Consider the following 15,151-nt stretch of genomic DNA (forward strand, 5'->3'; position numbering starts at 1 on the left):
TACAATTATTAATGAGATGTCACATTCTTTTGTTGTAGTTAGTCTTTGAACTCCTGTGCGTGCTAAGTCTGAAATCCTTACAGCACATTTCGATTTGGACTAGTCACATCTCAAGGGTTCAGTAGCCACATGTGGCTCATGCCTGCCATCCTGGATGGTACATCTGTAGAGTCTACAGGGTAAGTGCTGTCCCTAGTGGAAGCAGAGCTTCAGAAGAGTTGCCTGATCATAGGACCTGGCTTCAGGACACAGCCAGGCTTCCAGGGAAGGAGTGACTGCTAGATATTAGAACTTAGTTTCTAATATCTTGTCTGTTTATTGTGTGAGATTCTGTGTAGGAAAAATGGTCCCAGACTTTGCAAAACACCAGTGACTGGCTTTGTCCTTTTTAGAGAACAGATCAAAGTATGTTTCAATCCAGAATTGAAAGCTGAATTTGGGGATAAATGTCAGATTATGTTAGGTGTTACAGATAATTTAAAAATATTTAGCAAGTTTCCTATGCAACAATTTATCTGTAGAAAAATTAATATAGTTTTTATATTCCAAAGTAAGGTTTTACTTAGTTTCCAGTTCTATAGCTGCTGCCCAAAGAAAACATTTATGTGAGAAGTTAAGGAAGTAAAGGGTGGTTCCCGTGAGCTCCAGTTCCTAAATAGCTGAGAAAAACAAACATTCTGAACATCCCCTTTAGCTCCTTCGGCAGGGCTGGGCTCCTGTCTCCACACAAGGTGTCCTGGGGCATTACAGGGGCTCCAGACTTACCCCTGGCTTTTGCAGGGGGCCTGCCCTTTGCTAAATTAAGCCCAGCCAGGCCTATCTGTGAACAGAGAGGCTCCAGCCGAGTGAGAGAGATTGGTTCTGCTAAGGAATGTCCTGGGGAGGGGAGAGAATCGCTGAGATCATGGGTATTTATGTGTATGTTTTCTCACTTGCCAGCTCAGTTGGGCCACATCAACAGAGGCCTCTGGGACACGACCAAGATTCTAACAGAGTGACTATAGGGAATGAATAGCTCATGACACACTGAGAAGGGTTTAATTGGAGATCAGTGTGAATACCACAGCAGAATGTATCTTGGGAACTCTGTGCTCAGAGTCTAAATAAAACAAGCAGAACACCTCATTTTCCCTCATTTTTCTTTTTGTTTAAAAAAATGGATTTTGTTTTTTATTTTATTTTTTATTTTTTAGTTTTTTAAAATGAGATAGGGTCTTTCTATGTTGCCCGGGCTGGTCTCAAACTCCTGGGCTCGAGGGATCCTTCTGCTTCAGCCCCCCAAAGTGCTAGGATTACAAGTGTGAGCCACCAGGCCTGGTCAGATTTTGTTTTTTAGAGCAGTTTTAAGCTCACGGCAAAGTTAAGCAGAAGAGCCAGAGATTTCCCATTTACTCCCTGCCCCTACATACATACCTGTGTATATACAGCCTCCCCCACTATCCAAACCCAAAGATGTCTCATTTTGATATATCTTTTCTTGGATTCTTAAGCTTAGTGTTGACCAGAAATACCTCTTATTATGATTCATGCATCTGACTGTCTTTGGGAAAACTAACATTTATTGAACACCCACTATATGTCAGGTATTTTTTTTTTTAACATCTTTTCATTTACAACCCTGAAAGGTAGGGGTATTAGCACCATTAAAAAAACTAACAACAGAAGGAAATGAAACTTAGGTTAAAATGATTTACCTCTAGAATACAGAGATGAACTACGTGAAACTGTAAAAAAATGATTGAATGTCTCCATTTTTATATGGTTCAACCTAATAGAATGTTAAGAGGGCTCATATTTGAACCCAGGCCAATTTAGTTCAAAAGCCTATACTTTGCATTGTACTGTACTATACCCTAAAATTACTAGAATAGCACTGGATTCTTTATTTTCCCTTGGGGGTGCTGTAGTTTCACATAGATGTAGATTTATATTCCTGTTCCTTAGAAGACTAGAACAGTGATGCTTAGAGAAAGAGCAAACCAAGGTATGGTATATCTTGAGTTAGAGTAGGAGTTGAGTTGAGTGGGAGCCTAAGTTTAGAGACTAAAGCTAGGAGTTATATGATGCACCCGCACTGATTCGTGTATCTGCTGCTATTTATATCTGCCACCTGTGTGCATTTCCATACAGCTGATTCTGGGTTCTCTTTTGTTTGTTACATGCTATGATAATCATTGGTTTAATTAACCCCATAGGCTGTAAATTCTCTGAAGACTGTGATTCTGTCTGTCTTGCTCTTTCTAGTACCTATTAAAGTGTCGGCACATACCAAGTAGGTGCTTACTAAGTATTTTATGAAAAAGCAAATGAATAAACAAATGATACTATCTCAGCTACTCTGTCCTCTGCCCAATGAGCACTGTCTCTGTCTTTGCCTCTGTCTCTCTCTCTCTCTCTACACACACACACACACACACACACACACACACACACACACATACACACACCCTAGCTGTGTCTATCCAAACACCTAATCTCCTTAGCACTCATCCATGGTCTCAGTGCTTACTCAGACATGGGTGTCTGTGTTTGTCTAATCAAGGTAAACCAGGCTGGGAAAGGACTGGTATTGCTTTGAAGCTTTTACTAAGGACTGACATAGGTTGGGCTTGAAATATGACCTGAACAGAGCAGTTTTGCCATTTGAATGTGGAGCCTTATATTGAATAAACTGAAACTTTTCCACTTGGTTTTTTCCATCTCTTTGGAGAACAGGACTGGACACTAAAGCAGGCTCTGGCAGGAGAATGTCCTGGTCTTGCAGAATCTTCTGGTTGCTAAGGCTGAGGACACAGCCCCACTGTCCTTTCTCTGGCAACAAAGGACATTTGTCACATGTTGGGGCGACTTATGTTTCTAATTTGGGACTTAACTGCACTAGTAAAAGACAGCAAATGTGGAATCAGTAGAAAGGTAGAGATTGTGCATTTGAATCAAGACTTTCTTCCACTTCACATTAAAGTGTAAAAACTTAATGCTTTGCATTTGAATACCTTCTGATAGGTGGCTAGGTGTCTCACATAAGCGTAAAAGATGAGTAATGCAGGTGGTATTATCATTCTTATGGGCAAGAAGGAGAGGCTGTAATTCAAGTTAATTGTATAAAAGCATAAAGCTCTGGGGACGACCAGTTTAAGGTCACACAGGGAGTTAATGTTAGCCAGATATCTAGACCCACTAAGGCTTCATTTTTGCTCTAAAACTTATGAATGGAGTGAAACTCCATTTACAAAAGAATTCACTTGGAAGCTACTAAAATGTATTTCTGGGGATCCTGCAATGACCAGTCCTTTGTCTTTTGGTCAAGACAGATAGAGTCCTTTCTGAAAATGCTCAGTGCTTCTCCCTGTTTTATAGAGTTATGACCTTGCCCCATTGATGTCAGAGAAGCCTGGAGAAGAAATTCACTCTGCATACAAAAAAGATGTATGTACTACACTTTTCCTAGAAGAGATAAGATTCTAAAAATGAAACGTTTTAAAATAAAACCCATTCACTAATAGTTACTTTTCACTTTGGGTGAATAATCAGGAGTTACATCAGGGTTTCCCTACAAGATTTTGAAACTCTTCCTCCTGCTAAATTATTTTTTAAAAATTCCTTTAGTTTACAGAATTGATTAGGATGGGATTTGGTCATATTGATTTTTGTCCCAAATAAAGACTCTTTTGTGGAATGCCAGCTCTTCTCGGGCTTGCTTCCTACTATCTTGCAAAGGTGCAGTACCCATTTCCTTCACTCACTGACCTTAACACAACTCTGATTACACTGAGAACTCCTTGAGGTCAAGGACAATGATGCCAAGAAAAGCACTTAGGTTTTGGCAATCTTTAATCTCCAATACTTTCTTGTCGACTTTATCAATGAATGTATGCTGGTATGCTGTCAAGATTTTTTAAAAACTATTTATTTCTTTTTTGTTTTTATTTATTTATTTATTTTTTTGAGACGGAATCTCACTCTTGCCCAGGCTGGAGTGCAGTGGCGCAATCTTCGCTCACCGAAACCTCCGCCTCCTGGGTTCAAGCAATTCTCCTGCCTCAGCCTCCTGAGTAGCTGAATAGCTGAGTAGCTGAGGAGCCCTGAGTAGCTGGGCTCCCACCACCACGCCCGGCTAATTTATGTATTTTTAGTAGAGATGAGGTTTCATCATGTTGGCCAGGCTGGTCTTGAACTCCTGACCTCAAGTGATCCACCAGCCTCAGCTTCCCAAAGCGCTGGGATTACAGGCGTGAGCCACTGCGCCTGGCCTATTATTATTTTTTGAGTGGCTGCTCTTAGCCCAGCAGCAAACTTTGAGGGATATAAGCTTGCAGATGAGTTGAAATGCATACACATGAATGCACAAATGTGAAGTTAAATGCCAAAACAAAAATGTAAGCCATCAATTCAAAAGTGATAACAAAGTGTTTATTTCAGAAACTTATACTAAGAGTTACTGTGAGCCAAGAACTTTTATAAAACCTAGAAGGGGAGGCAGACATTTTAAATAAGCAATGTAAGGCAGAGTCGGGTGAGTGCTATACTAGAGGTAAACATCAGATGACCTGGTATGAATCCTGGTTTACTAAGGACAATCTTGATTTTTGCCTGTTGCCCAGAGGTAATTATGATAGCACCTGTTTGTACTATCAGAAGAGTCTCAGTTATTAAATTATAGTCATATAAATTATAAACTAAGTACAGTTGAAGTGAAAAGAAATTATTAGTTCTGACTGGGAGGTTGGGGAAAGGTTTCTATAGGAGAGGATGTTTGAGCTGAACCTAGAAGAACAGGTTTAGAAAGAGAAACCATCATAGGCTGAGAACAGTTCAGGCAAAGCCTTGGTGGCCTCCAAGGACACTTGTATGATTGATTTCTCAATCAGCAAATGCCCTTGTCTTTAATGGAGAGTAGTACCACCAATGGCTAGCGAGGTCTTGGAAATTATCTCACCATGAACTATCATCACTCAGAACTCTAGTTATCAGAAAAAATGGCTGCTGGGTAATGACTGATGTCATTGTCATCCTGTGTCAGATCAGAGGGCACAGTTCAAGTTGGCTAAGGTGAGCAGGTGAAAGGGAGAGGAAGAGAGTGAGTGAAGCAATGTGAAAGTTGAAGAGACTAAAGGATAAGAGGTGAAGGGAGAGAACTGTGCTTTTATTGGTTCAATCTGCCCAATTAAAGAAGTTGCAGTTCCTCTTTAAACAAATCTTGTTTTTAATTTATTTCTGCATCTCTTCTTTCCTCCCTATATCCCATACTCTGTTGTATTCTGAGTCTCCCAAGTTTGAGACGTGCCTAGAGGCAGGTTTAATTTTCTTTATCCCTCAGTATTGGGAAACGGACTCTGCACCACTGAGTCTATGTAAGTCTGGTGGCTGAAAGAAGCTGCCACAGGGAGCCGAATTTTCATTGCTATCTATAACCTGAGTTTAGGTAATTCCAGAAATGAAAATGAAAAAATAAAAAAGAATATGGACATTTGCCTTTTTGGGATGAAAATGCCCCTTTTGACTTCTCATTATGTAAGTTTGAAAATTTTCAAATATAAACAAAGACTACGAAAATAGTACCTCCCGATGTATGTGTCCCATTTACCAGGGAGCCATGTTCCCATCACTCAGCTTTAACGGTTCCCAACATTTTGCTGTTCTTTTCAGTGATCTCCCTGCACTGTTCGTTCTCCATCTTGTCCTCTTCCACCCCTTACAGCAACTCTCTGACATCATATAATTTTATTTGGGAAGATATCAGAATATAACTCTCACAGAGAAGGCTTTGTTTTTAAACATAACCACAATACTATTATTGTACCCAAAAAGCTTAAAAATAATTCCATAATACCATCTAATACTGGGTCCATACTCAATCTTCCCTTTAAAAGTCCGTGTTAAGATCTGGAGATTTTAAGTCAGTATTTCTGAGCTCCAATGTAGTGCACAGGAGTAGGATGTTTAGCCTTTCTTACGGAGAGCATGAGCAGTAGAAGAGGAGGCTGGAATCCTAAAGTGTATTCAATCTTCTATTGTCAATGGGTCAATAATATACCTATTAGAGAATATTCTTAGCTTAAAACTGAAAAAGTCAGCCAGGCGCGGTGGCTCACGCCTGTAATCCCAACACTTTGGGAGGCCGAGGCGGGCGGATCACGAGGTCAGGAGATCGAGACCATCCTGCCTAACACGGTGAAACCCTGTCTCTACAAAAAATACAAAAAAATTATCCGGGCGTGGTGGCAGGCGCCTGTAGTCCCAGCTACTCGGAGACTGAGGCAGGAGAATGGCATGAACCCAGGAGGCAGAGCTTGCAGTGAGCCGAGATTGCGCCACTGTACTCCAGCCTGGGCGACAGAGCAAGACTGTCAAAAAAACAAAAACAAAACAAAAACCTGAGAAAGTCTTTATTTATCTACTTATTTGAGATGGAGTCTCGCTCTGTCACCCGGGCTGGAGTGCAGTGGCGCGATCTCAGCGCATTGCAAGCTCCGACTCCTGGGTTCACACCGTTCTCCTGCCTCAGCCTCCCGAGTAGCTGGGACTACAGGTGCCCGCCACCACACCCGGCTAATTTTTTGTATTTTTAGTAGAGACGGGGTTTCACCGTGTTAGCCAGGATGGTCTCATTTCCTGACCTTGTGATCCGCCTGCCTCAGCCTCCTAAAGTGCTGAGATTACAGGCGTGAGCCACCGTGCCCAGCCCTTATTTTTTATTTTTTTGAGGTGGAGTTTCTCTCTGTCACCCCAGCTGGAGTACATTTTTTATTTTTTCGAGATGGAGTTTCGCTCTGTCACCCCGGCTGGAGTACAGTGGCACAATCTCGGCCCACTGCAACCTCTGCCTCCTGGGTTCAAGCGATTATCCTGCCTTAGCCTCCCGAGTAGCTGGGATTACAGGCACCCACCACCACGCCTGGCTAATTTTTGTATTTTTAGTAGAGACAGCGTTTCACCAGTTTGTCCAGGCTGGTCTGGAACTCCTGACCTCAAGTGATCCGCCCACCTCAGCCTCCCAAAGTGCTGGAATTACAGGTGTGAGCCCCCGCGCCCAGCCAAAAGTGAGAATGTCTTTTAAAGACTTCAGATAAAAAGTTTTCCACATAATCTCACAGCATTATCTATTACCTTCTCACTCATTCAACAAACATATCATTGTTAGTCCACTTCCGCCTCTTGTCATCTATTCCTTCTTTGTTCTCTTGTTGGTTCACTCTTTCAATGCTTTTACTGCACCAAGAGGTGAGAGACACTGCGAGGACCTCAGATTAGTCACAGCTGTCGGTTATTTGTTTTTGTTGTTGTTGTTTTTGAGACGGAGTCTTACTCTGTCGCCCAGGCTGGAGTGCAGTGGCGCGATCTCGGCTCACTGCAAGCTCCGCCTCCGGGTTCACGCCATTCTCCTGCCTCAGCCTCCGAGTAGCTGGAACTACAGGCACCTGCCACCACGCTCGGCTAATTTTTTTTGTATTTTTAGTAGAGACGGGGTTTCACCGTGTTAAGCAGGATGGTCTCGATCTCCCGACCTCGTGATCCGCCCGCCTCGGCCTCCCGAAGTGCTGGGATTACAGGCGTGAGCCACCGCGCCCGAGCTGCGGTTATTTGTATCAGACATTGTGCTGGGTACTTTACATAAATTCATTTATTCCTCACTACAAACTTTGAGGTAATTTTTGCAACCCCTATTTTATAAATGAGGAAATTAGGTTGTAAAAGTTGAAGTAATTTACACAAAAAAGGTCCCCCAGTTAGGAAGTGGCAGAAAGGTATGTGAACCTAGGTTTACTTATCCTGAAATTCCTGCCCCAGCATGACAACGCTGAGAGGCAGTATCTTAATAACCAGCGCACCTGGGTAGTTCTGCCACACCATCATTTCCTCTGTCCTTAGGGAGTTTGCAATTTAAAAGGGTAAATAAGACAGGTGTAGAAATATGAAGCATTTACACAGGATGCCAATGTTGCAGTATGAAAAGAATATTTGAAAGCTCATAATGTCATCATGAGAAATTACTTTTAATTTGGAGAGATAAAGTAAGGCTTCACAGGGGACGTAGCATTTAACCATGAAGCTGAAGGGCACACAATGATGTGGCACCAAGAAGCATAGGGCATGTTTGGGAAATCCAGTTAGGCTAGCAGATAATAATGGAAGATAAAGCTGGATAGGTAGATTGAGGTCAAATTTTGAATAGACTCTATTATCAGGCCAGTTGTGTATAATTTAATCGCTGTACAGTTAAAAATCGTTAAAAGGTTTTTTCTTTCTTTCCTTTTTCTTCTTTAGCTGGACCTGCATCACATATTAAATGCTTTTTGGACAGACGGAATGAAATAACCAGAGCTATGCTTTAGGGAAAATTTAAGTAGTAGAGGGACTGAGGTTGGGGAAACCAGATATGAGACTATTCATGTACTCCAGTCCTGGGGAGAAGGAAGAAATACCTAATAGAAGTTTAATTTCAGCTTCATCATTGAAACTTTTTCTTGAGTTAGATGGGCGAACACTCCTTTGGAGGCATGAAGAAAGAGAAGTGCTTTCTTCCCATCTCCCCTTTCTTGAGTACATAAATTTCCTTAGATATCTTGACAAAGAGCCAAGAAGACTTGGTGATAAAATAAGCAAATGCAGTTAATTTGGAATCTACTGATGCTATAAAAGAATTTAACAATTTACACATGAATATTTAGTAATGGAGAATGAATAAATGTGATAAGCTATATGATGATTTTTCTACAGAAAGAAGGTGCAAGAAGGTTAGACTTTGATGTAAGATTATTGCTTTTACCTTGAAAACCCTTCTGGATTTCAGCCATCCTAGTTAGAGAGGGTAAATTGTTATTGTTTTTATAGTTAATAATAGTTATCATTTTCTGAATACTGACTGCATGCCAGGCACTGTGCGATGTGATTTTTGTGCATAATTTCATTTAGTCTCCCTAACATCCTTTGTAGATTGGTATCATTGTTATCTCCTTGATAGATGAGGTGAATGAGGCTCTTAGAGAGGGCAGGTGACTTGTCAAGCCCCCTTCTCGCCTTCAGAGCCTATGCTCTTGACCACTATACTTACTGCCTCCATATATTCTTTCAAGACTAAATGCAGCACATTCTCTAATTCTATAATTTACCACATTCTACAAAATCAGACAAAACTGGGCAGTGTTTGCTAAGCTGGTCTCTCTGATAAAAGGCTAAAGCAAGAGTGGAGTGTTGGTTTCAGTTACGGCTTTTACCTTGGAGGTAACCCTTCTGGATTTCAATTTCCTTGTCTTTAAACTAAGAGAACTAGAACACAGAAATGCTGAGGTCTTCAAATCTGTGAATCTTTGGGCAAATTGGTCAAAGCATTGACTTCATTTTCTTCAGTAGGATTTAGAACAGATAGAACGTACTAATTTATGTCCTCTGTTTTTCTTCCTTTTAGATCTAAGTATTTTTCCTGGTAAGGCTGAGGTCTCTGACTGGCACTAGTTAGCCTGGACATGAAGGGAAAGTGAATCAAGGTTGTTGCACAGCTGTGTGCAAGGCATTGTTCTATGCTTATCATGCACATTGTCTCATTCAATCCTCACAGAATCCCTCGTGAATACTTATCTTCATTAAAAAGCAAAGCAACCACACTATACTTATAAGAAAACTGAGGCTCATAGTGATTAGTTAACCTGCCCAAGGTCACCTAGCAGGAAAGTGATAGAGCCAGGATTTGAACCTAATTCTTTCTGGCTTTAGGTTGGTTTCATAGTGCCTCTCACTTTCCCTGTTGTTTGTTTATTTTTATTTGAATATTCAAAGATTCCTCATGCAAAAATAGTATTAATAGTAAGGGACTTTTCAGGGAACTTTCTGTTGATCAGTTTATACCTGATAGAGATTCCCTATGTCACATCATGAGACTAAGAACTAGGCAGAGGACATCCATATAGCTCCAGTCATTTGAGACCTCACGTATTTTTAGATATGAGATTTTTAAAAAATCTGCTCAAGCAGTTTTGGCTTATCTGAGGTGGTTTAGCATATCCAGACTTTTCTGATTTATATAAATTAGCCAGGCATAGGAATATCATTGATAATAACACTTCATAATTATAGATTCCATTTTCTTTCATATGAGATTTAAATAGCTTTTTGCCCAGTCTTTGTCATTTTCCAGGTGGAGAAGCCTTAGCAGAATTTTACCCAAGGTCACAGAAGTGAATCAATTGGTGGCAGAAATAATAATAAACTTAGGAGTCCTCTTTCTCAGCACCATATCCTGAACACTGAATCCACTTGAAACATTATGGTCTCATGGAAAGCAAACTGCTGTTCCAAATGATAATGCTGTTGTTCTTGATGATGATGGTGATAATAATATTATTATAATTAAAATTATAGTTATACCTGTGTTAGAAACACTGTCCTAAGTCCTTTACATGTATTGATTTATTTATGCCTCACGATCCTCTCAGTAGGTTTATGAATGAGGAAAATACAATTATCTGCCTATTACAGATTAGGAAATTGCTCCCTCTTTGCATTTCCCACATAATTGAATGCATATTCCTTCACCTCTATGAAGGGCCAGTAGCTTAGGGACCATTTTTTATGAAGACATTTGAATTCCTTTAAGTATTGACCACAAAGCTGGGGACATAGCAACTGTTTAGCAAATCTTCTATTTTACTGATTCATCAATTGGTACAGATGAATTATTCTTGCAGTGCCAGGCCATGGAACTGATATAGAGATCTTAGACTTGTTCTTCATACAAAATTGAAATATGCGTGTTTCCATTTGTTAATCTTTTGGTATTTGTATTGCAGAATAAAATACAGGGTACTCAATTCAATTTAAATTTCAGATAAACAACAAACAATGTTTTAGCGTTTAAGTTATGTCTCAAATATTGCAAAGGATATACTTCTAATGAAACAAATTATTTGTTGTTTATCTGAAATTTAAATTGAAGTAGATATCTTATATTTTTATTTGCTAAATCTGGTAATGCTATTTAGTGTTCATAAAATAATAACTTTAAAGGATATCCTGAAAAGACAGGGCTATCATTCCCTTCTTTTGAAGAAATTAGGACATTTTCATCTCACTGGATCTGAATCTATGTTCTAACCTTGGTCAAAAGGTACCTACTTATGAGGGGAACAAACATTCTTCTCAGTATGTCACTAAAAACGTACTAGTAATATGATCTAAAATGCCTTGAGTCCAACTGCCTTCCAGCTCTAAAATTCTTTAATTCTAAGTAACTCTCAAATATCTAAACCAGGTTTCTACTTTTCCCAATTAGTATTTGTGTTTCAACCACCCTGCATGGAAACATGGGTTATGAAATGCCTTCACAAGTATGGTAGAAAATATGCTGCTATTGTGTGTTGCCTTGGACTTCTAGAAGTCTAGGTGTTGGTGGTTATTATATGGCGATAGTAAAGTAAAATCCTCCCTACTGTTCTAGTACCCACAATACTACTTTTCACACTTTAGCTACTTTACCTTCAGTCTCTCTGTCAACCTCTGATCTAAAGACTTCTTTACTAAATAACATTCTTCTTGCCTAATACTGTATTATGGACTTCATCAGGGAAGGGACTAATCCATCTTTGCATGCTAACGTTTAAGCTGAAATAAAGTAATCCCTCAATTAACATTTTGCAGAAACCTCCTTAGGTTCCCCTACAAACCTGCCCCTATTTTAGTTAATAGAATGCATTCCCACTGACATGCTGGAAATTTCAGCAGTCTTTGGTCCTCCCTCCAGTCTAATCTGAATCTCACAAGTCATCAAGGCCTGTGGCTTCTGTCTCTGAAATGTCTTTTGAGTCTTTCTCCCTGTACCTCTTGTCCTTAGACAGTCCCCCTCCCTATTCTGGTTAGTTGCCCCTGACCCACCCACCTTCTTCATAATTCCTTCTTCAACATGGACCCGATCATGCCAATGCTTTGCTTAAAGCTCCCTGATAAGTCTTTGATTTCTACTGATTATTATCCAGTTTTTTACTTTTTTAATTTTTTTTATTTTGAGACAGAGTCTCTCTCTGTCACCCAGGCTGGAGTGCAGCAGCATGATCTTGGCTGACTGCAACCTCCACCTCCTGGGTTCAAGCGATTCTCCTGTTTCAGCCTCCCAAGTAGCTGGGATTACAGGCGCATGTCACCACGCCCAGCTAATTTTTGTATTTTTAGCAGAGATGAGGTTTCACCATGTTGGTTAGGCTGGTCTCGAAAGCCTGACCTCAAGTGATCTGCCTGCCTTGGCCTCCCAAAGTGCTGGGACTATAGGTGTGAGCCACTGTGGCCGGCCTATCTAGTTGTCTTAGCAGGATTTTCACAAACTAGTTGCAAACTATTTTCTATACTCCTTACCACACACTAAGCCACTTAACCTGCACCAGACACACTTGGGATGTTTTTATTTCCTTATTTCTGTTTCCCCAAATCTTACTTGTTGCATCCTCACCTCAATAAAAATTAATTGTTCCCTGTATAACTTTACCATCAGAGTCCCCTCTCACCTTAAGCAAACCTAATTTATAAAATTCCAATTTTATGATAAAAGCATTGTTTTTAAAAATGTTTACAACCAAATTTCTTTAAATAATTGAATCCCCAGGCATTTAAAAGTATTGTTCTATTACTATAATTCTATTAAAAGTATTATTCTAGCAATTTCGTTTTCGGGAACAACCTGTATTAGATAGGAAAAATTTATTTTAATATATACTCTGTCCTGCAATGGTTTAGAGAACGAATAGACTTAAGCAGTGTTCATGATCCAGGGGTAATGATAAATAGGTTGGGAAAATTGATAAGTAGCTCAGGGGAAACCCTGAAGCTGTACAGCTTATTCTTCCTTGACTAGATTGCTGATCCAACTAAATCCCTAATTATGTCAAGGGTCACAAAGAGGGCAGAGATGAGGTGAGAGGCTGTGGACCAAGGCAAGACTCAATTGATTGAATAAATTTTGGTATTACTACACTGTGGACTATTATGCAGTTATTGAAGAATGAGTTAGCTCTATATTATTGTCCTAGTGGGAATTCCTTGATTAAAGTAAGGGGGAAAAGTTGCTGAGTGATATTTATAGTATACTGAGGAAGAGTGAGATCACAGTCCGTGATAGGGAGAAGACTTGATATTTTTCTTTATATACATTTATATTGCTAAAATGGTTACTTTTATAATTTACAGTTTTTTAAAAGCTTAGTGTTAAATGACAAGTATTACTAAAATTATTAAAAATATTTTCAGACTTCAATAAAGTTTCAGAATACAAAAATTAATGTACAAAAATCAGTAGCATTTCACCAGGCACGGTGGCTCACGCCTGTAATCCCAGCACTTTGGGAGGCCGAGGTGGGTGGATCATGAGGTCAGGAGATCGAGACCATCCTGGCTAACACGGTGAACCCCGTCTCTTCTAAAAATAGAAAAAAAAAATTAGCCGGGTGTGGTGGCAGTCGCCTGTAGTCCCAGCTACTTGGGAGGCTGAGGCAGGAGAATGGCGTGAACCCGGGAGGCGGAGCTTGCAGTGAGCCGAGATCATGCCACTGCACTCCAGCCTGGGCGACAGAGCCAGACTCCGTCTCAAAAAAAAAAAAAAATCAGTAGCATTTCTACACACCAATAACATTCAAGCTGAGAGCCAAATCAAGAATGCAATCCCATTTACAATATCCGCTAAAAAAAAAAATACCTTGGAATACATCTAACCAAGGAGGTGAAAGATCTCTACAAGGAGAACTACGAAACACTGCTTAAAGAAATCATAGATGACACAAACAAATGGAAAAACATTCCATGCTCATGGATTGGAAGAATCAATATCATTAAAATGGCCATATTGCCGAAGGTAATCTACAGATTCAACACTATTCCTATCAAACTACCAATGTCATTCATCAAATGACCAAGATCAAAGCCAGAGGCATCACACTATCCAACTTCAAACTATACTACAAGGCTACAGTTGCCAAAACAGCATGTTGCTGGAAAAAAAAAAAGACACATAGACCAATGGAAGCAAATAGAGAACCCAAAAATAAAGCTACACACCTACAGCAATCTGATCTTCGACAAAATCAACAAAAATAAGCAGTGGGGAAAGCACTCCCCTATTCGATGGTGGTGGGATAGATAACTGGCTAGCCATATGCAAAAGAATGAAACTGGGCCCCTACCTTTCAGCACATATAAAAATTAACTCAAGATGGAGTAAAGATGTAAATGTAAGACCTCAAACTATAAGAATCCTAGAAGAAAACCCAAGAAACACCATTCTGGACATTGGCCTCAGGAATTTATGACTAAGTCCTCAAAAGCAATTGCAACAAAAACAAAAAGAGACAAGTCGGATTTATTTAAACTAAAGAGTTTTGCACAGCAAAAGAAACTATCAACAGAGTAAACAGACAACCTCTAGAATCTAAAAAAATTTGCAACTAGCATCTGAAAAGGGTCTAATATCCAGAATCCATAAGGAATTTAACAATTGAACAATGAAAAACAAATAACCCCGTTAAAAAAATGAGCAAAAGGCATGATCAAACACTTTTCAAAAGAAGACATACAAATGCCCACCAAATATATGAAAAATTGCTCCACATCACTAATCATCAGAGAAATATAAATCAAAACCACAATGAGATACCATCTCACACCAGTCAGAATGGCTACTATTAAAACGTCTAAAAACAACAGATGCCGGTGAGGCTGCATAGAAATGGGAATGCTTACACGCTGTTGGTGGAAATATAAACCAGTTCAGTCACTGCAGCAAGCAGTTTGGAGATTTATCAAAGAACAACTTTAATGGTTCCACTGGCTAAACTGCATGTCTGGCTCTGATTGGCTAATGCTCTGTGGTTTTAGGGGTGATGTGGAGAATCTCAACAGTCAGAATGAAGCTGAGCTCCGACGCCAGTTTGAGGAGCGACAGCAGGAGACGGAGCATGTTTATGAGCTCTTGGAGAATAAGATCCAGCTTCTGCAGGAGGTGAGGAGTTCCCAAAGTCCATAGGTAGGGGTTCTCTTTTATTAACACTCCTCTTCCTACTGCTCTGCCTTCTGGCATTCACCTTTTCCGTCTCTACTTTCCCTCTGAAATTCATCAATGTTCCTGGGTCTTAGGGCTCCTAATCTAGGTAGAAATTTTGCAGCCTCTCAGTTTTTGTTC

General features: G+C 40.0%; 1 pseudogene, besides 1 other annotated feature; it reads left to right on the forward strand.

The window, feature by feature from the left end:
- LOC100996723 (uncharacterized) overlaps positions 1–15,151 on the forward strand; it is a 123,106-nt pseudogene that overhangs the window by 107,330 nt on the left and 625 nt on the right.
- Positions 2,770–3,271: an enhancer, noted in NCBI's record as "NANOG hESC enhancer chr1:144689698-144690199 (GRCh37/hg19 assembly coordinates)". NCBI's record gives its function as "activates a minimal SCP1, AML or CMV promoter by ChIP-STARR-seq in primed H9 embryonic stem cells {active_cell/tissue: H9 hESC(primed)}" and the evidence as "EXISTENCE:reporter gene assay evidence [ECO:0000049][PMID:30033119]".

This window comes from Homo sapiens, chromosome 1 (genome assembly GCF_000001405.40).
Source record: "Homo sapiens chromosome 1, GRCh38.p14 Primary Assembly".
NCBI lineage: Eukaryota > Metazoa > Chordata > Mammalia > Primates > Hominidae > Homo > Homo sapiens.